The sequence below is a fragment of the Homo sapiens genome, chromosome 11 (assembly GCF_000001405.40).
Source record: "Homo sapiens chromosome 11, GRCh38.p14 Primary Assembly".
Taxonomy (NCBI): domain Eukaryota; kingdom Metazoa; phylum Chordata; class Mammalia; order Primates; family Hominidae; genus Homo; species Homo sapiens.
Window position 1 is genome coordinate 57,551,151 of NC_000011.10, and position 27,378 is coordinate 57,578,528.

Sequence of the window (27,378 nt, forward strand, 5' to 3'; positions counted from 1 at the left end):
CTCACACCTATAATCCCAGCACTTTGGGAGGCTGAGGCGGGTGGATCACCTGAGGTCAGGAGTTCGAGACCAGCCTGGCCAATGTGGTGAAACCCCATCTTTACTAAAAATACAAAAATTAGCCAGGCGTGGTGGCGGGCATCTGTAATCCCAGTTACTCAAGAGACTGAGGCAGGAGAATCGCTTGAACTCAGGAGGCGGAGGTTGCAGTGAGCCGAGATTGCACTGCTGCACTCTAGCCTGGGCGACGGAGTGAGATTCTGTCTTAAATAAATAAATAAATAAATAAATAAATAAATAAATAAAATAAAATGGGGACGTCACCCCTGTGGACCTTCTGAAAGCTCCTCTGTCCAAGGATGGCCTATTTTTCCATGGCCAACATTCCTTATGATGTTTAGGGAACATTCAAGGGAAGCAAGGTCAGAAATTTATGCTTAAATCCCTAGTCCTCTATGGTCCTGATGAAACCACCCCATCCCCTCATCAAAGACTCAGCTGCACTCCAGAATTCATCTCTGACTTTAATGGCTTAAGCAAGAACATGGTTTCCGTGGCTCCCCCTGGACTGAATGCTGGAGGATATATACTTCACAGTCTGAGGCCTGGTCCCAGGAACTGGCAATCTAACAGGATGGCAAGTGGTTTTGAAACATATAGATTTTCAGGATGGAAGTTTGATTCTTCAGATTGTGACTCATCCGTGGAAAATAAATGGTTTAGCACCTAAATCTGTATATTCCCATCAGTGGCTTGGCTGACTCAGTTGTAAATAGGGTACCCTCCATCTGTCTCCCACCCATATGCTCCACTGTCCCCAGGCCCTCAGTGCCTGAGCCCTAGGGGGATTCGAGTTGGCTGCTGGATTCATTTCCTGCAAGCAGGCCTGCAAGGTGACCTGTCTCTCTAAGATGGAGAGCTGGAGAACTGGCCTGTAACTGCAAACTTAAACTCCCTTGGCTCTGGGGAATGTAAAGGGTGTGGGAAGGGTGCACCTGTGGCCAGGTGAACCTGGGAGTGAGTCCATACACAACACACACACTCATAGCTCCCTTCCCTCCACCACACACACACACAAACTAATGACTAACAACCTAAGAAGGGAAAAATGAATGGGGAATGGGCCACAGGGGGCTCTGGCCTCAGTCCATGAGGTGTGTCCGTCCGCTATGCCGAGGATCCAGTGCACAGAGGGTCAGAACATGAGTTAGGAGGGCCGGTCCACTCCGAATCGGAGGGTGAACTCTTCGGCATTCTTTCTGAACAGCTCCGGATTCTGTGTCAGCAGGTCAGCGAGGTCCATCCGCAGGGGCTCCCTGATATTCGGTCTATTCACCAGCACATTGAGGGCCTCCAGGACTGGGGAGAGACAGGCCAGATCAGGATATCAGGGCAGAGGGAAGGGAGTCATGGCTGCCCGTTCCCAATGTCCTGACACTCCACACTCACTCCTTGGGGGAAAGGTTACATCGCTTAGGATTACTCTACGACCAGATCAAACGCCCCGCTCATTCTTGGCTGGTGACACCCAAGGCCTTGACTGATTACATCAGTGGTTTTCAAACAACTACATTCCATGGCTTCAGAGAAGCTCCTCATCACAGGGGCCACTGAGATAAGTGAGGTTTCTGGGTCTTATCCCCATTTCAACAAAAACTGCTCTGTTTTCCTCCATTATATTGGTAGTCCAAATAAACTTTTCCTTGGGCAAAAGAGGTCTAAGGCTAAAGACTGAAAACCACCACTGCCCCCTGGCTCTTCATCTTTCACAGATGCCTTTGGGAACCTAGTGAAGGCAGCAGCCCATCTCCCGAGACAGATGTGCACATCCACATGCAAAACAGACAGTTCCCAGACCCCCTGAAGCTCATCCAAGGACCACTCCTCTCCCTGCTCCCACTCCCACCAACCTAAGGACTTTCATTTCCTGAGTTAAAAACTCCTGAGCTGGTCCAGGTGGAGGATTGCACACTGATTCAGCCACAGGCTCTAGAGCTGTGTTGTTCAATATGGTAGCCATTAGCCACATGCAGGCATCTAAATTTAAATGAATTAAAATCAGGCTGGGCACGGTGGCTCACGCCTGTAATCCCACCACTTTGGGAGGCCAAGATGGGTGGATGGCTTGAACTCACGAGTTTGAGACCAGCCTGGGCAATATGGCAAAACCTGGTATCTACAAAGCATGCAAAAATTAGCCAGGTATAGTGGCATGCTCCTGTAGTCCCAGTTACTCGGGAGGCTGAGGTGGGAGGATGGCTTGAGCCCAGGAGGTGGAGGTTGCAGTGAGCCAAGATTGCGCCACTGAACTAACTGCCTGGGCAATAGAGACAGACCGTGTCTCAGTAGAAAAAACAAAAAGGATTAAAATTAAGTACAATTAAGAATTGAGTTCTGGCCAGGCGCAGTGACTCACACCTGTAATCCCAGCACTCTGGGAGGCGGAGGCAGGCGGATCGCCTGAGGTCAGGAGTTCGAGACCAGCCTGGCTAACATGGCAAAACCCCTCTCTATTAAAAATACAAAATAGCTGGGTGTGGTGTCATACGCCTGTAATTCCAGCTATTCAAGAAGCTGAGGCCGGAGAATCGCTTGAACCTGGGAGGTGGAGGTTGCAGTGAGCCAAGATCGCGCCACTGCACTCCAGCCTAGGCGACAGAGCGAGACTCTGTCTTAAAAAAGAAAAAGAATTGAGTTCTTCAGTTGCAACAGCCACATGTGGCTTGCGAGTCAGCCAAGTGCTGCCGTTTGTCATCTGTATGACCTTAGGCAACCACTTCACCTCTCACATGCCTCAGATGTCCGGGTCTACTAAACAACACTACCTCACGGGCTTGTTGGGGAAATAAAAATGAAGTCGGCAGGTGATGTTTTTAGCACAGTGCCGAAAGTGCTCAGTCAAGTGACAGGTATTATCATTATGAGGCCAGTTCCCTCCACTGTCATTTAGGACACCGAGTCCCAGAAAGGAACGAAAACTTGCCCAAAGTCCACAGAGGGAACAGCGGGCTTTCTTTTCCCGAGCCCTTCCCTGTGCAGCCAAGCTGCCTCTCCCATGAACCGCAGCAACGTTCCTCTGTCACAACTGCACAGGTATAAGAAGAGAGGCAGGAGGAGGTCAGTCTGTCCAGGAAGCATCCCTTCTATCTCATAGTAAGTTCAGCCAAGACTCACAATTTTTATCTCCTCTCTTTGGGGCTTTTCAAGCTCAGAATAAGCTGTGAACCCCCTCTCCAGTAATCTCTACCCAGTATCAGTCCCTCCTCCAAGCAAAGCCCAACCCCACCTTGGCAAGTCTTGGTGCAAGGCTTCCAGTTCTCACTGCTGATGATGGGCAGGCAAATCTGTCCGTTCTCGTCCACGTTGGGGTGGTAGATCTTGGTTGTGAATTTGATCATGGGAGGCTTGAACGGATACTCCGGCGGGAAGCTGATGCGCAGGTTGAAGGCTTTCAGGTGGTAGGGAGGTTGGTCCTGTGCAGAGAGAAAAGGGGTCAAGCTCCAGTCTGGTTTTCCTCCCTTCCTGCCCCAATCCGAGGGTCCTAGGCATCCTCTGCTTCACTCCCAGGAGGAATCATGAGCCAGGACACACACAGCACCTGCATTCATTTGACAATTGAGTCATGGATTAGTGAAAATGTGAAATCACCAAAGGGCACTGGCCTGGGAGGCAGAGAAGTCTGATCCTGGCTTTTGCTGTGTGACCACGGGTGAGCCACTTCCCACCTCTAGGCCTCAGTTTCCTCATTTGAAAAGTGGATAAAGATGGACTAGATGAGCTCTAAGGACCATCTCAGCTTTCAAGACTTTCTGAGATTATGGAAGAAAAGGATGGAACATCCTTTCTTAAAACATTAGAATGGGGGTGAGGAAATGGAGAAAATGAGGAAATCCTAAGAACTCAGGAGCTTAGGAAAATAAAATGGTGCAGCTGTGATGGAAAACAGTATGGCCATTTCTCAAAAGATTAGACACAGAATTACCATATGATCCAGCAGTTCTACTTCTGGGTAGACACCCAAAGAACTGAAAGCAAACAGGTATTTGTATACCAATGTTTCTAGCAGCCAAAAGGTGAAAGCAAACCAAGTGTCTATCAATGGATCAATCAACAAAACGTGGCATATACACACAATGGAGTATTATTTAGCCTTAAAAGGAATGAAATTCTGATATATGCTACAACACGGATGAACCTTGAAGACACTATGCTACAGGAAATAAGCTAGACAAAAAAAGGACAGATTTGCAAGATACCACTTATGTGCAGTACCCAGAATAGTCAAATTCATAGAAACAAAATACAAAAGTGGTCACCAGGTGCTGGGGAAAGAAAGGAATGGGGAGTTACTGAAGGGGTACAGAGTTTCAGTACAGGTAGACAAAAAGTTCTAGAGATGAACGGTGGTGATGGTTGTGCAACAATGTGTGTTTGTTTGTTTACTGAAGCAGGGTCTCGCTCTGTCACCCAGGCTGGAGTGCACTGGCATTATCATTGCTCACTGTAATCTCAAACTTCTGGGCTCAAGTGATCCTCCCACCTCAGCCTCCTGAGTAGCTGGTACTACAGGGGCCCACCACCATATCTGGCTAATTAAAAAAATTTTTTTGATAGGGTCTCACTGTGCCAGGGCTGGTCTTGAACTCCTGGACTTGAGCAATCCTTTTGCTCTGGCCTCCAGATTACTGGGATTACGAGCGTGAGCCACCATGCCCAGCTGTAATCCTATTTAATCCTATTTAATGACACTGAACTATATACTTAAAAATGGTTAAGATAGTAAATTTTGTTATGTGTATTTTACTATGATTAAAAACAAACAAACTCAGGGGCTGGAGTGACCTAGGGGTTGGGAGCTGCAAGGAGCCAGCAGAAGACCCTCTAGACTTTGAGCCACCTGAACACTTTTCTGAGCACCTGTCTGTGCTGTCCTGTGCTAAGGGTTTGACATGCATTAGCCTGTGCAACAGAGTATGGGGGTCACACAGACTCCGGAGCCACCCTGCCTGGGTGTGATTCAACTCTGACACTCACTAGCCATGTGATCTAACTAGGTCAGGTGCGGTGCCTCACGTTTGTAATCCCAGCACTTGGAGCCACCCTGCCTGGGTGTGATTCGGCTCTGACACTCACTAGCCATGTGATCTAACTAGGCCGGGCACGATGGCTCACGTTTGTAATCCCAGCACTTTGGGAGTCCAAAGTGGGCAGATCCCCTGAGGTCGGGAGTTCAAGACAAACCTGACCAACATGGAGAAACCCTGTCTCTGTTAAAAATGCAAAATTAGCCGGGTGTGGTGGTGCATGCCTGTAATATCCGCTACACGGGAGGCTGAGGCAAGAACCGAGAGGCAGAAGTTGAACCTGGGAGGCTGACGTTGTGGTGAGCAGAGATCACACCCTTGCACTCCAGCCTGGGCAACAAGAGCAAAACTCCGTCTCAAAAAAAAAAAAAAAAAAAAAAAGAGAGATGGAGTAAAAAAAAGTAGGAAGATAAAGAAAATATCTCATTTTTTATGGTCTCAGTAAGGAGAAAAGGCTGTGCCTATCAGTCAGAGAAGGCCAACAGCTGAGGCCTCAGAGCAGGATGGGAGGGTGCTGTGGTTGGATGTTTTGTCTCCTCAAATCTCAGGTTGAAATTTGATCCCCAAGACCTACGTGGCGGTGGCTCGCGCCTGTAATCCTAGCACTTTGGGAGGCTGAGGCAGATGGATTGCCTGGGCTCAGGAGTTTGAGATCAGCCTGGGCAACATGATAAAACCCCGCCTCCACTAAAATACAAAAAGGTAGCTGGGCGTGGTAGCATGTGCCTGTAGTCCCAGCTACTCAGGAGGCTGAGGCATGAGAATTGCTTGAATCCAGGAGGCAGAGGTTGCAGTGAGTCTTGCTCTGCACTCCAGAGTGAGACTCTGTCACCAAAAAAAAAAAAAAGGAAAGAAAAGAAAAGAATTTGATCCCCAATGTTGGAGGTGGGGCCTACCAGGAGGCGTATGGGTCCTGGGGGCAGACCTCCCACGAATGGCTCCGTGGAATGGCTCCGTGCCAACCTCACAGTCATAAGAGAGTTCTTACTCTATTACTTACTGAAAAAGCTGGTTGTTTAGAAGATCCTGGCACCTGCTCGCTCTCTCTCTCTTTCACTTCTTCTCTTGCATGTGATCTGTACACGTGGCTCCCCTTTGCCTTCCACCATGAGTGGAAGCTTCCTGAGGCCTCATCAGAAGGAGATGCTGGTGCCATGCTTCTTTTTTTTTTTTTTTTTGAGATGGAGTTTCACTTTGCTGCCCAGGCTGGAGTGCAATGGCGTGATCTCGGCTCACCGCAACCTCTGCCTCCTAGGTTCAAGCGATTCTCCTGCCTCAGCCTCCCAACTAGTTGGGATTATAGGCATGCACCACCACACCCAGCTAATTTTGTATTTTTGGTAGAGACAGGGTTTCTCCATGTTGGTCAGGCTGGTCTTGAACTTCTGACCTCAGGTGATCCGCCCTCCTCGGCCTCCCAAAGACATGGGATTATAGACGTGAGCCACCATGCCCAGCGCCATGCTTCTTGTACAGCCTGCAGAAGCTTGAGCCAAATTAACCTCTTTTCTTTATATATTACTCAGCCTCGGGTATTCCTTTACAGCAACACTAATGGACTAAGACAGGGGTATCAGTGTGTCCTGCCTGAAGGGGCTTCTTTCTGGGCTTCGTAGGACTTAACAGAGGAAGGAGGTAGCAGAGTCATGGAGCTGAGAGCTCCGGGGACCTGTCCCAGCTCTGCCTCGGGCTTGCTGTATGACTGAGCTTTCTCTGAGGATCAGTTTCCTCGTCTGTAAAATGGAGAAGCTGGACCAGAGGATTCCATGCTGTATCTTACAGTCAGTTGAGAAAGTCCCACTACCTTCTAAGTTCTAGGTTAAATAAAGGATTTTGCTACTTTATTTTGTTTTGTTTTTTTGAGACAGAGTTTTGCTCTTGTCATCCAGGCTGGAGTGCGATGGCCCAATCTCAGCTCACTACAACCTCCAACTCCCGGGTTCAAGTGATTCTCGTGCCTCAGCCTCCTGAGTAGCTGGGATTATAGGTGCCCACAACCATGCCCAGCTAATTTTTGTATTTTTACTAGAGACAGGGTTTCACCATGTTGGCCAGGCTGGTCTCAAACTTCTGACCTCCAGTGATCCACCCACCTCAGCCTCTCAAAGTGCTGGGATTACAGGTGTAAGCCACCGTGCCCGGCCTGCTACTTTTTAAAAAATTTTGAAAACTATTCATTTTTCATGGAGTGGTTAAAAGAGAAGACCCTGGAGTCCGCTGAATTCCACTCCTGCCACCTTATTCTGAGTGACCCCAGACCAGTTACTTAACCTCCTTGGTTTCCATCTCTGCAATTTTAAGAGGAAGACAACCTTCCTCACTGGATGGTTGAGAGGATTCAATATGACCTCATATGTCGTGTGCTTAAAACAGCACTTGGTCCACAGGAAACTCTCAAGGAATGAGAATTTTACTATTAGCTTCGAAAGACTCATCGAGCTGAATCCTTCCATGACCAAGATGTGACAAGTGGGGCCACTTTGGTGAACACATAAACTGAGACTGAGCCTTTGAGGAGGAATTTGTGTGCTATTCCAAAAGACCTTTCCTGGTTCTCCTTCCTCTGCCAGTCAACCATCCCCTCCTTTATGGCCTCACCAGGCACCTTCAGGCCCCCTTAGCTGATGACTTACATCAAGCTTTGGTCCTCCAGCTCTGGGATTCCTCCCAAGTATCATGTTTCTTCAGGACTCCTATATGGCTGGAAGGTCTGTGGCCAGTTCCTGGGGCGCACTTAACCACCTTGGTCTTGCCAACTATTGAGGTCCTCTGATTTCATAGTACTCTGCCAAACGAGACCTTTCCTAGGTTTTCCTATCACCCCTGCTTTCATCATCTCAAAGTTGGTCTCCTTGGAGATATAATCAGTCCCTGGAGCTCCTTTGAGCATCTTCTCCCGGCACCTGAGGCCTAGAACAGGTGTCCTCACTCTAAGCCAGGTAAGTGGATCGTTTCAACACAGTAACCCAAGGGACTTGACAGAGGTTCCCATGTTGACCTGACTCAGGCCTTTCTCTACTTTTCTGGACTATAGGTCAGTTTAAAGAGAAGACGACACAACCTAGGCCACTGCATTGTCAATAAAAAGTAAATCCTGCCGGGTGTGGTGGCTCCACCTGTAATCCCAGCACTTTAGGAGGCCGAGGTGGGCAGATCACTTGAGGCCAGGAGTTTGAGACCAGCCTGGCCAACATAGCAAAATCCTGTCTCCACTAAAAACACAAAAATTAGCCAGGCATAGTGGCACGTGCCTGTAGTCACAGCTACTCAGGAGGCTGAGGCAGGAGAATCGCTTGAACCCCAGAGTGGAGGTTGCAGGAAACGAACATCGCATCACTGCACTCCAGCCTGGGTGACACAGTAAGACTCTGTCTCAAAAAAAAAAACAAGTCCAAATCCTAAATGATAAGATGAATTGTTCCTTTGATATTCCAAAGAGCTTTGACTAACAAAAAGTTCAATGTCTTAAATTTTATTTCCAAGTAATGAAAAGTGTAGATTAATTTCTCAAAGTATCTTTAGTCACTAATAATCGGATGAAAAAAAGAGAGATCTTGCACTCTGAAAACTATTTTGGAATACTGCTTTCAGAGAGACTTTATCAAGAAAATACCAAATAATAAACAGAGAAAAATAAGAACAGTAGAAATGAGCTATTTGTGTTTTCATATGTAACAATTTTCTGAAATAAGACTACAGAAAAACAAAATACAATTTAGGTTTGCGGGAGCAAATTCTCCCAACTGTGAGAGCCTGGAAGTTTATCCCTACCCCTTGACAAAGGTCCAAGAAATCTTTATTTCTTCTTCTTTTTGATGCTGTTTGTCTCCTGAAGTTCTGTGGTGGGCTTGGTGGCTACCGGTTTAAGGAAGGGGTCTCCTACTAAGTCAAAAGTCCTTTGGCATCTTTATCAGAAGGTGAACCTCAGAAGTATCTGGATCTCAGAAGCAATCAATTCAGAGAGAAGCCCCCTCCAGCAATGATAACCTCCAGTAAAAGGATCTCAAGCAGGGAAAATTCTTGCCTAGTCCTAACCCTCCCTGCCCATGTCCCTGGCCTAATTTGGCCCCAATCCAAAGCCATGGTCCCCATGGATACTCACGGGTAGGAGGAGAGCGTGCCACACCAGGACATTGGCATCATCGCTGGACAGGTTCCGCAGGTATGGGGGAGGCTTCTTCTGAAGATCCTCCAGCTCCTGCAGGGGACACAAGTGAGTGGGCAGTTGGCCTAGTCCTCCTTATTTCAGCCCCCTCCCCCTGCCCCAGCAGCAAGCTGCCCCAAGTTCAAAACTGGCCATCTTAGGGGCAGAAGCCGGTAAAGTCAGAGCCTACATTTACTGAGCACTTAGTATGTATCAGGCATGGTGCTGGTGCTTTTTCTTTTTTCTTTTTTTTTTTTTTTGAGACAGAGTCTCGCTCTGTTGCCCAGGCTGGAATGCAGTGGCGCAATCTCGGCTCCCTGCAAGCTCCGCCTCCTGGGTTCACGCCATTCTCCTGCCTCAGCCTCCCGAGTAGCTGGGACTACAGACGCCCGCCACCACGCCCCGCTAATTTTTTGTATTTTTAGTAGAGACGGGGTTTCACCGTGTTATCCAGGATGGTCTTGATCTCCTGACCTCGTGATCCGCCCGCCTCAGCCTCCCAAAGTGCTGGGATTACAGACGTGAGCTACCGCGCCCAGCCGGTGCTGGTGCTTTAAGTGAATTTTCTGACTGTGGCCTCACCACAACTCTGGTACACCTAGGTACTAGGTGCAGGGAAAAATAGATCACTTCTCCCAGATATTAAAACTTGGGAGTAAGTGCTCTTAGGAGGCTTTTCTCCTGAAAGCAGGGTACTTAACCTCTGCTCTCTAGCCTTCTTCCTAGAAAGTCACTAGGTTCTAATTCCCTTCCTCTCTTCCTTTCTTCCTTCCGTAAGCATCGACTGAGCATCTGCAGCAAAGACATGACCCCACCGCTTCAAACTCTGCCAGATCAGGGCTGGAGAAGGGAAATGACTCCGGAAGACCATAGCAGAGAAGAACTCTACACACCAAGTGGGGAAACAAGGGGGCAAGGAGTGACTCATCTTCCCAAAACTGTGGCCCAAACACCTGAATATCCCTTCTGAATTCTCCCAACAGCCATTACTGAGCATCTTCTACTGACATTTAACTGAGACAGGACCCAGTCCTCAAGAATTTCAATAGAGTAATGGACGAAACATGGATGTGATTATGTGAATGTGTATGGATATACGGTAAGGAAGGAGATGAGAGGGGAGAAGGAAGGTTTCACAGAGGGTGCACTCTGTGAGCTGGGCCATGCAGAATGAACAGGAATCCATAAAGCAGAGAAGGGGAGAAGCACCAGGGCAGAGGGCCCAGATGGGAAACATAAGTACAGTATGTCCTGCAGAAGGTTAATAGGTAGTACAGGAAAAGGGTTCCAAGGTCAAGTACATTTGGTAAATCTCGGCTAAAGAGGTTTCTTCACTGGAGAACTTCCCACAGCCTTTAATATGCTATTGTGTATGGTGATTGACCAAGCTGTGGGCCCACAGCATGCAGTACTTCTCAAATGTATTTGACAAAGGAATGCTGCCCCTCTTTTAGAGTCCATCTTGTGGGACTACAGGCCTTTTCTTGTTGGGGAAGATAAAGACACTCAAGGGCAGGTCACATTTCTCTGGAACAATGAATTGGTACAAACCAGTGGTTCTCAACCAGGGGCGATTTTACCCAGCCAGGGACATTCGGTAATATCTGGGAACATTGTTCCGTTGTCATAAATCGGGAGAGTGGATAGAGGCCAGAGATGCTGATAAACATCCTAACAAAGAATTATCTGGCCGAACAAGAGGGGAGACCGCTGCCCTGCAGGGTGAGTCTCAGGCCTGGTCACATTCACCACAAGCTGACTGAAGGGCCTTTGGGCCTTAGGCGAACATCAGCAGTAGTACCCTGGCAGTACTCCTCATAGACCCGTGGTGGTGGTGGACAAGGGGAGAGACTCCTATATCTGGGGAAAAGGGAGGGAAGAGTGGGAAGGACTGTGTCCTGTGGTTTCAGTGCCAGCTTAGCTGCAGTAGCACAGAGCACTAGAGAGATTTCTAAGGTTTCCGACTCCAGGCCCTGGCCCATGGACAGCAACTGTGGACCTCTCTGGGGCCCAGCAGTGAACTAACCACCCTAAGGGGAAGAACACAAGCCTGGCTGGCTTCACCACCTGCTGATTGCAGAGCCCTAGGGCCTTGAGCGAACGTAGGGCATAGCCAGGTAGTGATTACAGCGGGCCTTGAGCAAAACCCAGTCTTGTGCTGGCTTCAGGCCTGACCCAGTGCAGTCCCAATTCTGGTGACCATGGGGATGCTTGTGTCACACCTCACCCAGCTCCAGGGAGCTCAGCACGGAGAGTAAGACTCCATTTGTTTGGGAGAAAGTAAGGGAAGAAAATGAGAGTCTCTACCTGGTAATCCAGAGAATTCTTCCTGATGTTATCCAAAACCACAAAGGTAGTAACCTCTAAAAGTCTGCAAGAACTACAGTGTTACTAGGCTTGGAGTGCCCCCTTATGTAGACATGGCTGCAGTGACCAAAACTTAGATCACAACAGCCAAGCCCCTTCCAATACCTCGAAAGCCTTCCCAAGAAGGATGAGTACAAACAAGCCCAGACTACAAAGACTATAATAAATACCTAACTCCTTAGTGCCCAGACACCAACAAACATCCACAAGCTTCAAGACGATCCAGGAAAACACAGCCTCACCAAACGAACTAAATAAGGCACACAGGGCCAATTCCAGAGAAACAGAGATATGTGACCTTTCAGACAGAGAAATCAAAATAGCTGTTTTGAGGAAACTCAAAGAAATTCAATATTTCCTCCACAGAGAAGGAATTCAGAATCCCATCAACAAATTTAACAAATAAATTGAAATAATTAAAAAGAATCAAGGAGAAATTCCGGAGTCGAAAAATGCAATTGAGGCCGGGTGCAGTGGCTCATGCCTGTAATCCCAGCACTTTGGGAGGCCGAGGCAGTCAGATCACCTGAGGTTAGGAGTGCAAGACCAGCCTGGCCAACGTGGTGAGGCCCTGTTTCTACTAAAAATACAAAAATTAGCTGGGCATGGTGGTGCAGGCCTGTAATCCCAGCTACTTGGGAGGCTCAGGCAGGAGAATTGGAGAGGCAGAGGTTGCAGTGAGCCGAGAGCATGCCATTGCACTCCAGCCTGGGCAACAAGAGTGGAACTCTGTCTCAAAAAAAAAAAAAAAAGAAAGAAAGAAAAAAATGCAATTAACATACTGAAACGCATCAGTCTTTTAACAGCAGAATTGATCAAGCAGAAGAACTAGAGTGTTTAAAGACAGGGTATTTGAAAATACAGTCAGATGAAGCAAAATAATAAAAGAATAAACAAAGACTTTGGGAGGCCGAGGCAGGTGGATCACGAGATCAGGAGATCGAGACCATCCTGGCTAACACGGTGAAACCTCATCTCTACTAAAAATACAAAAAAAAAAAAAAAAATTAGCCGGGCGTGGTGGTGGGCGCCTGTAGTCCCAGCTACTCAGGAGGTTGAGGCAGGAGAATGGTATGAACCCAGGAGGCAGAGCTTGCAGTGAGCCAAGATTGTGCCACTGCACTCCATCCTGGGCAACAGAGCGAGACTCCGTCTCAAAAATAAAAAAAAAGAATAAACAAAGAATGAAGTATGCCTACAGGATCTAGACAATGGCCTCAAAAGGGCAAATCTAAGAGTTACTGGCCTTAAATAGGAGGTAGGGAGAGAGACAGGGCTAGAAAGTTTATTCAAACGGATAGTAGCAGAGAATTTCCCAAATCTAGAGAAAGATATCAATATCCAAACATGAGAAGGTTATAGAACACCAAGCAGACTTAACCCAAAGAAGACTACCTCAAGGCATTTAATAATCAATCTCCCAGATGTCAGGGATTAAAGAAAGGGTCCTAACAGCAGCAAGAGAAAATAAACACATAACATACAATGGAGCTCCAATATGTCCAGCAGCGACTTTTCAGTGGAAATCTTACAGGCCAAGAGAGAGTGGCATGACATATTTAAATGAAATACGGCTGAGGGAAAAAATCTTTTACCCTAGAATAGTATATCCAGTGAAAATATCCTTCAAACATGAAGGAGAAATAAAGACTTTCCCAGACAAACAAAAGCTGAGAGATACCATCGACACCAGACCTGTCCTACAAGAAATGCTAAAAAGGAGTTCTTCAATCAGAAATTTAAAAAAATTTTAATGAGCAATAAAAAATCATCTGGGCTGGGCATGGTGGCTCACGCCTGTAATCCCAGCACTGTGGGAGGCCAAAGCCGGTGGATCACCTGAGGTCAGGAGTTCGAGACCAGCCTGGCTAACATGGTGAAACCACATCTCTACTAAAAATACAAAAATTAGCTGGGCGTGGTGGCGGGTGCCTGTAACCCCAGCTACTCGGGAGGCTGAGGTAAGAGAATCACTTGAACCCACGAGGCGGAGGTTGCAGTGAGCTGAGATCGTGCCATTGCACTCCAGCCTGGGCAACAAGAGCGAAACTCCGTCTCAAAAAAAAAAAGAAAGAAAAACACAGATTAGTATAACACTGTATTTATGGTATATACACTACTCATATCTTAAGTAGAAAGAGGAAAAGATGACCAATTAAATATAATAACTACAACAATTTTTCAAGAGGTAGACAGTACAATAAGAAAGAAATAGAAATGGCCGGGCACAGTGGCTCATGTAATCCCAGCACTTTGGGAGGCTGAGGTGGGTGGATCACCTGAGGTCAGGAGTTCGAGACTAGCCTGACCAACATGGAGAAACCCCGTCTCTACTAAAAATACAAAATTAGCCAGGCGTGATGGTGCCTGCCTGTAATCCCAGCTACTCAGGAGGCTGAGGCAGGAGAATCACTTGAGCCTGGGAGGCGGAGGTTGCGGTGAGCTGAGATGGCACCATTGCACTCCAGCCTGGGCAACAAGAGTGAAACTCCATCTTAAGGAAGGAAGGAAGGAAAGAAAGGGAGAGAGAAAGAAAGAAGGAAAGAAATAGAAACAACAAAAAGTTAGTAAGCGGAAAGACGAAGTTAAAGTATACAGTTTGTATTAGTTGTTTTTTTTTTTTTTTTTTTTTTTTTTGAGACAATGTCTCACTCTGTCACCCAGATTGGAGTCCAGTGGCACAATCACAGCTCACTGCAGCCTCAACCTCCTGGGCTCAGGTGATCTTGCTACCTCAGCCTCCCAAGTAGCTAGGACTACAGCAGTGTGCTACCATGCCCGGCTAATTTTGGTACTTTTTGTAGAGATGGGGTTTGGCTGTGTTACCCAGGCTGGTCTCGAACTCCTAGGCTCAAGCAGTCCGCGAACCTCAGCCTCCCAAAGTGCTGATATTACAGGAGTGGGACACCACGCCTGGCCTTCATTAGTTTTCATTTTGCTTGTTTGTTTATGTAATCAGTGTTAACTTGTCATCAGTTTAAAATAACAGGTTATAAGATATTATTTACAAACCTTGTAGTAACCTCAAATCTAAAAACATACAATGGATACATAACAGTTATGTGACCCAAAATGTCAGTAGTGATGAGGTTGAGAAACTGAAGCTCTCCAAACCCAGTCCACAAGTGGGGAGGGGTCCTTTAACACTGTGGACCATTTGAACTTTCTCTGCCTTACCCCCACCCCCAACATATAATATAAACACATCCCATGCCCCCCTCCTATCCCTCAGCCTATGTTCTATTTCTGTTCAACCAATAAGCTGCTTCTGGTGCCTTCCACCCAGGGTCAATGGCCCTTCATTTATCTTTACCCCAAACTAGAAGCATCTGCACTTGTAAGAGTTTCTCTATCATCTGTGACTCTTTGGCAAGAACAAAGCCCAGGGCTGACCGGAGAAGATCTGGAATAGACATTTTCCAGGTCTTGGAAAGATAAAGACACTTGAACTTTATCTGTTTAGGATGAGTTCTGCCAGAACTTTCCCAAAGCCTGAGGAAGTTGAAACCCAACCTAAAACACACAGTTCTTTCCTACTGCCTACTAGGAAATCACCTGACTCAGAGGAACAGAAAATGAAAGTAGAAAGGCCATTAAGAGAGCCTGCAGGCTGGAGGCCTGTGGACCTGGTTTCATATTCCAGTCCCATTGCTCCTTACTGAAAGACTCTGGACAAGCAAGTTATTTCCTCTGTGCCTCAATTTCCTCATTTGTAAAATGCGGGTATATATTACTTATCTCACAGAACTGCTGTGCGAATTAGATGAAATAACCATGTAAACCGTTTGGCATGTAATGGTTCCAATGCAATAAATTCTGGCTCCCATCTCTCTTCCACTTGGCTGGAAAGACCCTCTGCCTCATTTTGCTGCCAACCTCCAGATTTAGTATCTAGGCCAAGCCTGCTCTGGGCATCCCAGTCTGAGGCCATTTTCTTCTCAGAGGCTGAGGGTAGCAGGCACCCTCTTCCTAGAGCCTGCCCCTCCACCCTGCAGACTGGAAGGGGCACTTCTGAAAGACTTGGGGTGCCAGACTCACTTCACCAGGATCACCTTCCTCCCTAATCCATCTCCAAACACCCTGGGTTTTCCCACCTTCTGGAGGAAACTGCCCCCTCCCCATCCTTCCAGATCTTATTTCAAATTGTGTCCCTGATAGGAACAAAATTCAACAAGGGCCGGATTTGTGTTCATCTCTGCCCGCCCCCCCCCCCCTCCTAGAACAGGGCCAGCACATGTAGGCATTCAACACTTGTAGAACTCACGAACGCAAGCCACCTACTCCAGGAGGCCTTCCAGGTCCACCTCCGCATCTTTTCCTCCAGAGAATACTCAGGGAACTTTGTCCCAAATTCTAATCAGCATTCCGTGTTTCTCAGGACTCTAGTAATACAGGCATCAAATTATGGGATGGGCTATGGGCTTATTCCAAGGCAAGGACTTCATCCTGGTCATCTGTGTTCATAACCCACCACCAGCAGTAGCAGAATGCCTGGCACCAAGATGCCAAGGACTTTTCCTGCACTGGAGATGCACCCAGTTGTTATCACAAGTTTCAGGCAGGAAAAGCGAAATTGAAACCAGTTTTGGGGGAGCCGGCTCATCTTCACCACGCGAACGGCTCAAGCAGAGGCCTCCAAACCCCCAAAACCCCAGCTCTGGCCACTCTTGCAGGCCAGTCCTCCTCTGAGTAGAGGGCGGGGAGGACAGGGATTCAGCCAGCCCTGGTGCCCAGACAAATAAATAAATGTGCTCGGAGAGCCGCGGAGGGGATGGAGGGAGGAGGGAATGCGGGAGGCGAGGGGAGCCAAGAGAAAGGGGTCATCCTATACGCGGTTACCTTCACCACTCGCATGCTCGCCATCATGTCGGGACCGAGTGTGTGGCACCCGTGGCCTCCAGCAGGACCGAGCTCCGACCCGCGACACAGCGCGCCCCGCCCCGCCCCGGGGACCCCACCCCCGGCAGCCCCGCCCACCCCTCCTCCAGCCGTCGCTGCGTGGGCCTCCCCGCACCCGCTCCGGCGAGGCCAGGAGGCCGTCGAAGGACGACCCGCCGGACAACCGCCCGATCCCCGCGCGGAAGGCTCGGACCCGGGACTCACGGTCTTTGTGCGGAGACGGGGGCGGGCCTCGGGGCGCACGGCTTTGCTGATCCCTGCCTCCCGCGGGGTGCGCCGTGCACCGGCGGCGAGCGCTCAGGGGCGCTGGGGGGCGCTCATACGGGTTCCAGTCTTCGCTCCGCCGGCGGCCGCACCGGGAGCTCTCCGGTCTTTGTCAGCCCCCTGCACGCCGCCCCAAATACACACTCGCCCTGAATAAATAAGGGATGCTCGCTGTACAGACGCAGCTCCGTGACAGTTCTCAGCGGCCTCCACTATCGGACTGCCGCCTTGAGCCCCTGCCCCAGCAAGCTGCCGGAGCCGCCGAGCCTGCCGCCTTCCCTCCATGGGCCCAGCGCTCCATCTCCGAAACTGCGTGGGGGATGGCGTAGACCTGTGCCCTCCGAGCACCGCTCCCCGGCAGTCGGGGATCCTTTGTGCTGCCCGGCGTTCGGCGCGGGCTGCAACGTTTCTCCCCGTGGCTTGGGGCAGAGCACCGCAAGGAGGCGCTGTTGGACCCTTTCTCTTTTGCTTTGGGGGTTCGGTCTACCATCATTCAGTCCTTTACTAGGTTTAGTATTTACTAAGTGCCTACTGTATGCTGGTTTGGGAAACAGTTGGTGGGGGAAGCCCCAAGAAGGACTCAGGAGCCTCCTTTCCAAGAGAGAGTCTGCTTCCCCTCCCTTACTTTACTACTGGTCCATTACAAGCTGTGGGCCTAATGTGTGCCCCCATGCACAGCTGGAGTCCCCAACCCTCTGTGCAAGGACAGAGTACTTGCAGCCCCTGAGCACCAAGCAGCATCTGGGGAAGATGAGACTTGTTGGGAGGGCCGATCCCCTCCTTCTCACCCTTCCCTACCCCCGTTTAGTCCAGACGAGAAAGGAAATCAGTATATTTTGAGCACCAGTTTGTGATCTCAGTACCTCACAGTTTTTTTGTTTCTTGTTTTTCTGACAGAGTTTCACTGTCGCCCTGACTGGAGTTCAGTGGCGATATCGGCTCACTGCAACCTCCGCCTCCCGGTTCAAGCTGTTCTCGTGCCTCAGCCTCCTGAGTAGCTGAGATTTACAGGCGCGCGCCACCACGACCGGCTCATTTTTGTATTTTTAGTAGAGTCAGGGTCTCGAGCTCCTGGTTTCAAGTAATCCACCCGCCTCGGCCTCCCAAAGTGTTGGAATTACAGGCGTGAGCCACCGTAATGTTTTTATCCAAGTATTTTGAAACCAAATGACTTCTCTGCTCAGATTTTGCAGAACGATTAATTGTTTCATTCAATTCAATGAACTTTAACAGCATTTTCTATATGCCCGAAATGAATAGGACACTCCGTAATCCCTTAACAGGGGTAGAGATGAGGGAACAAAGACATTCGAACCTGCCTGTGATCAATAGTCTCAGTCAACAAGCGCCTACTACTGAGTGGCAGGCATTGCCAATAGGAAACACCAGGATGAGAAAGGGGAGTCCCTGCTCCTGAGGAGTTAGTTCCCAGACTACTGGGACAGAGGGAGAGAATGCAGCCCCTGATTTTTAATGATAATGCTATAGAGAATCACCTGGTACTCTGGGAGTATGAGGAGGGTCACTTTATCCCTCTTCAGGGAGGGGCAGAGGTTTCCCGGAAGAGAGAAAAATCCAAGTGTATTGTGAAACATGATGAGTCAGCGAGAAGTAAGAGCGTGGGATGAAGATGTTCTAACAAGAGGGAACAGCATGAGCAAACGGGGCAGTGTCTATGGAAACTGGAGCAAAAGCCTCTGTCCACGTATCGTAGCTCTCCTTTTCTTTTCTTACAGGAACGCTGCATCCCGAGGTGAATTAACAGTCATGGATATAGCTGGGTCCTAAGTCCCCACACAGTGGGGCAGCCCACTGGTGTGCCTTTCATGTCCTTTCACAATGCAGACCTTTGTGTGTCAGAACAAGCCCCAGGGAGACCTGGGTTCTAGTTCCACATCTGCCCCCATGTGCAGTTATGGCCTTGGGTGGTCGGCGGAAACTCCTATCTGCTTGCCAGGACCATTGTGAGGCTAAGCTGAGGGAAGTGGAGGAACTTAGAATATTGTAAGTCGCCGGGCGCAGTGGCTCACGCGTGTAATCCCAGCACTTTGGGAGGCCGAGGCAGGCGGATCACCTGAGATCAGGAGTTCGAGACCAGCCTGACCAATATGGTGAAACCTCGTCTCTACTAAAAATACAAAAATTAGCCGGGCATGGTGGTGGGTGCCTGTAATCTCAGCTAGTCAGGAGGCTGAGGCAGGAGAATCGCTTGAACCCAGGAGGCAGAGGTTGCAGTGAGCCAAGATCACGCCATTGCACTCCAGCCTGGGGGACAGAGCAAGACTCCGCTCAAAGAAAAAAAGAAAAGAAAATTCTAAGTCCGAGGCCTGGCATGGTGGCTCATGCCTATAATCCCAGCACTCTGGGAGGCCAAGGCAGGCGGATTACCTGAGGTCAGGAGTTCGAGACCAGCCTGGCTAACATGGCGATACCTCGTCTCTACTAAAAACACAAAAATTAGCCAGGTGTAATGGCGTGCGCCTGTAATCCCAGCTACTGGGGAGGCTGAGGCAGGAGAATCACTTGAACCTGGGAGGCAGAGGTTGCAGTGAGCCGAGACCGGGCCATTGCACTCCAGCCTGGGCGACAAGAGCGAAACTCTGTCTCAAAAAGCAAAACAAGAAAATTGTAATTCCAGGATATAAACAATCAGGTTTGAATCCCAGCTCCACTATTTTTGGCTAAATAACCTTGGGCACATTACTTAACCTGTCTGTGCCTCCATTTCCTCATCTGTTAAATGGAGCTCATAACAGTGGATGTGAGAAACAATGAGTTGATATTTGCAAAGAACTTAACTTTGAATGGTGGACAATAAGTGACAGTTATGATAATGATAACATAATAAATATTAAAATGATGTCAGGTGCCTGCCTCAGAGTGAATGTACCAGGCTGTAGGAACAGATGCCTGAGCTTGCTCCCTTAGAACAACAGCAACACTATTTTCTCCAGTAGGAGACCCTGTTTTACTTCTCCCTGATCTGGTCACTGGCATTTATTCATCCATCTACAAAATTTATTGAGCACCTACTTATACAAGGCCCTGTATGGGGTACTCGATGGGATTCAGGCATTGATTGGTTAGGCTGGCTCGTCTTCACCATTGAGAGGAAGAGACACACATCTGTGTGATGACAAAAGGTGGTAGGAGAAAGGCCTCTTAAGTGACGTGCACATATGAGGTATGTCTCTTCCAAGACTGAGCTCTGCCAGCTGTAAGGCTTGCCAGTCTCTTATGAGGATAAAATGAGATGGTGTATGTGAGCAGACACCTTGTAGGTGTGAAAGTACGTTATCTATTTATAATGCCTCTAGAGTTCTGGGCAAGAGGTTCAGATTTTTCAAATGTCTCCAAGAACCTTCAGTGCATCTTCAAAGGAAGAACTTGGATCAGGAAGGATCAGTTGATTTCTTTCCATGCCCATTCCTTGGGCTTGTTCCTATTTGGAGTAGGGACGGTTAATCTCAGAACTACCCCAGCTCTCCCCATCTTCCTAGAGCTTAAAGAAGTTCCTGGGCCAGGTGCGGTGGCTCGTGCCTATAATCCCAGCACTTTGGGAGGCCAAGGCAGGCAGATCATCTGAGGTGGGGAGTTCGAGACCAGCCTGACCAATATGGAGAAACCCCTGTCTCTACTAAAAATACAAAATTAGCCAGGTGTGGTGGTGCATGCATGTGATCCCAGCTACTCGGGAGGCTGAGGCAGGAGAATCACTTGAACCTGGGAGGTGGAGGTTGCAGTGAGCTGAGATCGAGCCATTGCACTCCAGCCTGGGCAACAAGAGCAGGCAAAAAAAAAGAAGAAGTTCCCAGGAACCAGAGACAGAAGAGAATTTCCTGCTTCTTTTGATCCTCGTGCTTACCCCACACCCCCCCTTCCTCTGGGTTAGTCTCACACACACACACACACACACACCCCTCCTGTACCATGAGCCCTGCCCTTGTGGTTGAGGTGGAGGGATGGATAGAGGCAATCAAGGAGTCAGGGAGTCCCAGGAGGGGAGCTGGGGGTATTCTTGCCACAAGAGCAGGAAGGTGGCCTGATGAGTGAAGGACCTGCTTCCTCAGTGGGGCTCAACCACTCACTGACTTCCTTGTTGTGGGACTTTGGACATGAGAAGTAACAGTTAACAACAGATAACAACAATAACTAATGTATATTGGATGTGCAAGGATGTATCAGCAGCTTGGGCTGCCATCACAAAATACCACAGGCCAAATGGCTTTAACAACAGGTTTTATTTTCTCACAGTTCTGGAGGCTGGAAGTCCAAGATTAAGATTCTAACTGATTTGATTTCTGATGAGGGCTCTCTTCCCAGCTTGTGGACGGCTGCCTTCTTGCTATGTCCTCACATGGCCTTTCCTCAGGTGCTTGTGCAGGCAATGTGGGTATTAGAGAAAGTGAGCTCTCCAGTGTCGCTTCTCACATGGACATGAATTCTGTCCGATCGGGGCCCCACCCTGATGACTTCATTTAATCTTAATTACTCTTTAGAGGCCCCATGTCCAAATACAACCACACTGGAGGTTACAGCTTCAACATGTGAATTTTGAGGGACACAAACATTTATTCCATAACATAGGTTTGTGCTAAGTGCTTGACATGCAGTATCATAATTGATCCATTCAATAATGCTTGCTTAATTTTCTCTCTAACTTCCTAAAATAGGTTCTTTTATTGTTACCAGATTTTTTTTTTTTTTTTTTTGAAACAGAATCTTACTCTGTCACCCAGGCTGGAGTGCAGTGACATGATCACTACTCTCCACAGCCTCAACCTCACAGGCTTAAGCGATCCTTACAGCTCAGTCCCCCAAGTAGCTGGGACTACAGGCATGTCCCACCATGCCTGGCTAATTTTTGTATTTTTGTAGGCACAGAGTTTCACCGTGTTGCTCAGGCTGTTCTCAAACCCCTGGACTCAATTGATCCTCCTGCCTTGGCCTCCCAAAGTGCTGGGATTACAGGCATGAGCCACTGTACCCAGCCTTGTCTCCATTTTATAGGTAAAGAAACTGAGGCTAGGTGACTACTGGCCCAAGGTCACACACTCTCTAAGATGGAACTTAAACCCAGAACTACTGACTTCCTGCTTATTAACTGCCACGTCTGTCTGGGCCTTAAGTTCTTCATGTTAAAAATGAGGGTGAGAAGGCCGGACGCAGTGGCTCACACCTGTAATCCCAGCATTTTGGGAGGCCAAGGCGGGCAGATCATCTGAGGTCAAGAGTTTGAGACCAGCCTGGCCAACATGGTGAAACCCTGTTTCTACTAAAAATACAAAAAAATTAGCCAGTCCTGGGGGCGCCTACCTGTAGTCCTAGCTACTTGGGAGGCTGAGGCAGGAGAATCGCCTGAACCTGGGAGGTGGAGGTTGCAGCGAGCCAAGATTGCACCATTTCACTCACGCTTGGGCAACAAGAATGAAACTGCATCTCAAAAAAAAAAAAAAAAAAAAAAAAAACTGGTGAGAATCTCTGCCCTGTCTACTTCATGCGGGGTTTTACCTGGAAGACTTTGATTCCTGCAAAGTGAGATGTGCACATATAAGTTGTTTTCCTTAAGCAGAAAATATCCAATGATAGAAGTGTTCTAAAATGTGGCTGTCCCAGGACATTCAAATTAGCCCCCCTTAATCTCAGAACTGGAAGGGAGCTTTGAGATCATCTACAGTTGATGCTTGAACAATGCAGGGGTTAGGGGCATTGACCCCCGTGCTCAGTTGAAAATCCACAGATAACTTTTCACTCCCCCAGAACTTAACTACTAATAGCCTACTGTTGAACAGAAGCCTTACTGAGAACAGAAAGTTGATTGACATATATTTTGTATGTTATAGAGATTATATACTGTATTCTTAAAGTAAGCTGGAGAAAAGAAAATGTTATTAAGGAAATCACGGGGAAGATGAAATACATTTACTATTCATTAAGTGGAAGTGGATCATCATGTTTTCCATGTTTGTTGTCTTCATGCTGAGAAGGCTCAGGAGGAGGCGGAAAAGGAAGGGTTGGTCTTGCAGTCTCAGGAGTGGCAGAGGCAGAAGGCAGTCTACCTGTAAGTGAACCTGCACAGTTTGAGCCCATGTTCAAGGGTCAACTTCAGTGTTATATAACCACTCCCCACCACATCCCACCGGGTGGGATAAGAAAACAGGTGCCCAGATAGGGGAAATGCCTTGCCCCAGGTCGTGGATTAGAACTCAGGGGAGCTTAGTCCTGGTCTACTTACTGCTCTACAGGTTCTTCCCAACAGGCTCAGCCTCAGTCTCGTCCATGAATTTTTCCAAATTGGGCCATTTGGTGGGAGCAGCGGGGTTCCACCTCACTGCTGGATTGCCATCAGGAACAGCTGGTATTCAAGAAGCATCCCCTTGTCCTGAACCAGGATATAGTGAGTTCCATGGTCACAGCTGCATGACTCTGGCCCATGCAATTTATAGCCTCCCTACCTTGGTTTTCCCATCCATTTTCCTACGATTAGCAAGTACAGGTGGCAAACTGGTGGCTCAGAAACAAGTTTGATTTTGCAGGCTGTATGTGGCTTATACATGTTTTAAAATATGATGTCATAGGGGAACAAAAGTACCTTTTTCACTACCCGTGATCGTTCTTATTTGAGGCAGACCCCTGTAACAAAAGACAGATTAAGAGAAAAACAAGTTTATTAACATATACACCTTATGAATACATGGGAGATACTGAGGGAAATGAGTAAATCTCCAAGAGATGCCCTAAATACCTTTGCCTGCTGAAGCAAAGAAGAAAAGTGAGGTGGCCAGGAAAAACACCATAAACAAGGGTAAGATTTGTTATGCAGATTTAAGTCCCTGCTTTTTCTCTTCATGAGAGTTTCCAGTGATAGAAGCGTATTTTGGGATGACATATTCTGGTCATATTAGAGTAGCATATCCTTAACCCCATAAATGCAACATTTTTAAAAATGAGAGAACTGGTCAGGCATAGCGGCTCATGCTTGTAATCCTAGCTCTACAAAAATTTCTTTTAAAAATTTGGTCAGGTGCAGTGGCTCACGCCTGTAATCCCAGCACTTTGGGAGGCCGAGGTGGGTGGATCACTTAAGGTCAGGAGTTCGAGACCAGCCTGGGCAATACGGTGAAACCCGTCTCTACTGAAAATACAAAAATTAGCCGGGCATGCTGGCAAACACCTGTAATCCTAGCTACTCAAGAGGCTGAGGCACGAAACTCGCTTGAACCCAGGAGGCAGAGGTTGCAGTGAGCCGAGATCATGCCTCTGCACTCCTGGGCAGAGAGCCTGGGCAACAGAGTGAGACTCCATCTCAAAAAAAAAAAAAAAAAAAAAAAAAATTAGCCATGAGCAATGGTGCATACCTGTAGTCCTAGCTATTCTGGAGGCTAACATGGGAGGATCACTTGAGCCTGGGAGGTTGAGACTGCAGTGAGCCATGATCATGCTACCTCACTCTAGCCTCAGTGACAAAGTGAAACCACATCTCTTTAAAAAAAAAAAAAAAAAAGCAACTGAAGTACCAAACTAGGAAACTTATTCCAAGCAAAGGATTAATCTCCATAATATATAAAGAGCACCTACAAATGAATAAAAATATCAACAGCTCTTGGGAGGCCAAGGTGGGTGGATCATCTGAGGTCAGGAGTTTGAAACCAGCTTGGCCAACATGGTGAAACCCCATCTCTACTAAAAATACAAAAATTAGCTGGGTGTGGTGGCACATGCCTGTAGTCCCACCTACTCAGGAGGCTGAGGCAGGGGAATTGCTTGAAACCAGAAGGCAGAGGTTGCAGTGAGCTGAAATCACACCACTGCACTCCAGCCTGGAGACAGAGCAAGACTCTGTCTCAAAAAAAAAAAAAAAAAAAAGAAGGGCCGTGGGTGGTGGCTCACGCCTGTAATCCCAGCACTTTGGGAGGCCGAGGTGGGCAGATCACCTGAGGTCAGGAGTTCAAGACCAGCCTGGCCAACATGGCGAAACCCCATCTCTACTAAAAATACAAAAATTAGCTGGGTGTGGTAGCACATGCCTGTAGTCCCAGCTACTTGGGAGGCTGAGGCAGGAAAATTGCTTGAACCCAGGGGGTAGAGGTTGCACTGAGCTGAGATCACACCACTGCACTCCAGCCTGGACAACAGAGCAAGACTCCATCTCAAAAAAAAAAAAAAATAGAAAACAAAGCATGTAAAAGATAATTCAATGAAAAGAACATATTAATTCTTCCTAAATGTGTGAAAAGATCAACTATGCTCATAATAGGAGAAATACACATGAAAAACACACCAAAGTACCATTTTTCACCAGATTGACAAAAAAATGTTAATTAATCACGCCACATTATTTTTAATTACATACAAAGATCTAACATGTCACCCAGGGACCATTTCACCCACTGCTCTGTTTGGCCACCAGTCTCTTGTCTCTCTCTTCAGCAATGGTGAGGCGGATACCCTTTCCTCAGGGAAGAAAAATCCATGGTTTGTTGCCCTTACCAATAACAAAAATGTTGAAAGGTCGAGTGGCAAATCTGTTGCCACTGGCATCTTTCACATGAACCACGTCAAAAGATCCAGGGTGCCTCTCTCTGTTGGTGATCACACCAATTCTTCATACACAGGTTAGCACCTCCAGTCACCATACACAGGTTACCAGTGTTGAACTTGATGAAATCAGTAATCTTGCCAGTCTCCAAATCAATCTGAATGGTATCATTCACCTTGATGAGGGGATCAGGGTAGCAGATGGTGCGAGCATCATGAGTCCCCAGATGAGGGATTCCTTTGGTGTCCACAAAGATTTTTCTCACTTTGCACCACTTGTACTTGGCCTCCTCAGGTGTAATATGATGTACAGCAAAGCAACCCTTGGTGTCATAGATCAGACAGAAATTCCCTCCTGTCTTGCCAATGCTGATGACATCCATGAATCCAGCAGGGTAGGTTATATCAGTTCTGACCTTGCCATCGATCTTAATGAACGGCTGCATGCAAATCTTTACTTCATCTCCTGTCAGGGCATACTTAAGTCTGTTCTTAAATGATGATGGGGAGACACTCTCTCAACTTGTGGACACTGGTGGATAGACAAGGAGCAAACACACTGGTCAATTTATGCAGCATCCAATGTTTTGGAGTTGCTGTAGTGGTTCAGATGCTTCTTGGGACCATGAGCCATGGCTGCATTAGGCACAGAAAGAAGAAAAAGAATTTTTTTTTTAAGTTTGATAATGCATGTCTTTGGGAGAGTGTGGGAAAACAGTCACTCTCATATATTACTGATAGAAATGTAAATGAGATTGCGCCATTGCACTCCAGCCTGGGTGACAGAGCCAGACTCCGTCTCAAAAAAAACAAAAGAAAGAAAGAAATGTAAATGTGTACAATCCCTATGATGAGTAAATTGTCAGTATCTATCAAAATCATAAATATGAATTCCTTTGACCTATCAGTTTTGCCTCTAGGCATTTTATCCAATAGATATATTATCAATGTGTGAAATACTATAAATATAGGCTTGTTTATTATAGCAAAACTTTGGAAGCAATCTCTACGTCTAACAAAGAGGGTCTGGCTAAATAATGATGGTACATTCATACAAAGAAATATCAGGCATGCCAGCGGTGGCTCAAGCCTGTAATTCCAGCACTTTGGGAGTCCGAGGCAAGAGGATCCCTTGAGCCCAGGAGTTCAAGGCCAGCTTGAGCAACATAGTGAGACCCTGTGTCTATTTATTTTATTTTTATTTTTTCTATTTTTTAAATAAAATAAAAATAAATAAATATCAGGCAGCTGTAAGCAAGAATGAGGAATCTGTTTACGTATTGATAGAGAAGGCTCTTAAGATAAATTTTAAGGGGAAAAGACAAAATATAGTATCCTGTGAAAAGTATGTTATAATCTGTGTGAATAAAGGAAAAATAACATTTGCCTCATATGCTTAGAACATTTCTGGAAGAATACAAGATACTAGGGACAGTGATGGTCCCTGGAGAGGGTAACGTGCTGATCAATTGGAGGAGATAGAGGGGATTTTTTACTTTATATCCTATTTCCTTTCATTTTTGGAATGATGTGAATGAACTACCTCTTTAAAAATGAATAACATTTCGGTCAGGCGCGGTGGCTCACGCCTGTAATCCCAGCACTTTGAGAGGCCAAGGCGGATGGATTATTTAAGGTCAGATGTTCGAGACCAGCCTGACCAACATGGTGAAACCCCGTCTCTACTAAAAATACAAAAATTAGCCGGGTGGTAGTGGTGCGTGACTGTAATTCCAACTACTCGGGAGGCTGAGGCAGGAGAGTCGCTTGAGCCTGGGAGGCAGAGGTTGCAGTGAGCAGAGATCATGCTGAGCGAGAGACTGAGACTCTGTCTCAAAAAAAAAAAAAAAAAGATAACATTTCAATTAAATAATAAAGATTCTCTCTTTTTTAACCCAAAAGATTTTTGCATTAAAATGTTTATTTCTTTGCTATCCTAAAAAGAAAAACATTTTTTAAAAGAAAGTAAAATATTTATTTCTGGCTTCTCTTGCAAAATTAAGTCCAGGTGTGGTGGTTCATGCCAATCTATATTCCCAGTGCTTTGGGAGGCCAAGGCGGGAAGATGGCTTGAGGCTAGGA

At 47.4% G+C, this 27,378-nt stretch overlaps 1 protein-coding gene and 1 pseudogene across 2 annotated transcripts, besides 2 other annotated features; both read right to left on the bottom strand.

Annotated features, from left to right (window-relative positions):
• Positions 1-511: 511 nt before the first annotated feature.
• Positions 512-16,785, bottom strand: UBE2L6 (ubiquitin conjugating enzyme E2 L6). Of its 2 annotated transcripts, none has more exons than NM_198183.3 (4): positions 16,699-16,785; positions 9,187-9,282; positions 3,287-3,473; positions 512-1,359 (listed from the first exon to the last, which is right to left on the bottom strand). In NM_198183.3, the coding sequence occupies exons 3-4, from the start codon at positions 3,396-3,398 to the stop codon at positions 1,208-1,210; spliced, it is 264 nt and encodes an 87-aa protein (NP_937826.1). In that variant the 5' UTR covers positions 3,399-3,473; positions 9,187-9,282; positions 16,699-16,785; the 3' UTR covers positions 512-1,207. The 2 variants fall into 2 exon arrangements, with proteins under 2 accessions (NP_937826.1, NP_004214.1); NM_004223.5 differs by lacking the exon at positions 16,699-16,785 and adding an exon at positions 16,435-16,522.
• Positions 14,923-15,272: an enhancer, noted in NCBI's record as "active region_4724". NCBI's record gives its function as "activates an Ori minimal core promoter by ATAC-STARR-seq in GM12878 lymphoblastoid cells {active_cell/tissue: GM12878}" and the evidence as "EXISTENCE:reporter gene assay evidence [ECO:0000049][PMID:35858748]".
• Positions 16,526-16,885: a silencer, noted in NCBI's record as "silent region_3351". NCBI's record gives its function as "represses an Ori minimal core promoter by ATAC-STARR-seq in GM12878 lymphoblastoid cells {active_cell/tissue: GM12878}" and the evidence as "EXISTENCE:reporter gene assay evidence [ECO:0000049][PMID:35858748]".
• On the bottom strand, positions 25,070-25,955 carry RPS4XP13 (ribosomal protein S4X pseudogene 13; annotated as a pseudogene).

Excerpts from the sequence above, each read along its gene's own strand:
- UBE2L6 (NM_004223.5), bottom strand. The coding sequence starts at position 16,461 with ATGATGGCGAGCATGCGAGTGGTGAAG. Across the intron at positions 9,283-16,434 it reads CGAGCATGCGAGTGGTGAAG|GAGCTGGAGGATCTTCAGAA; the intron begins GTAACCGCGTAT and ends TGTCCCCTGCAG. Across the intron at positions 1,360-3,286 it reads TTGCACCAAGACTTGCCAAG|TCCTGGAGGCCCTCAATGTG; the intron begins GTGGGGTTGGGC and ends GTCTCTCCCCAG.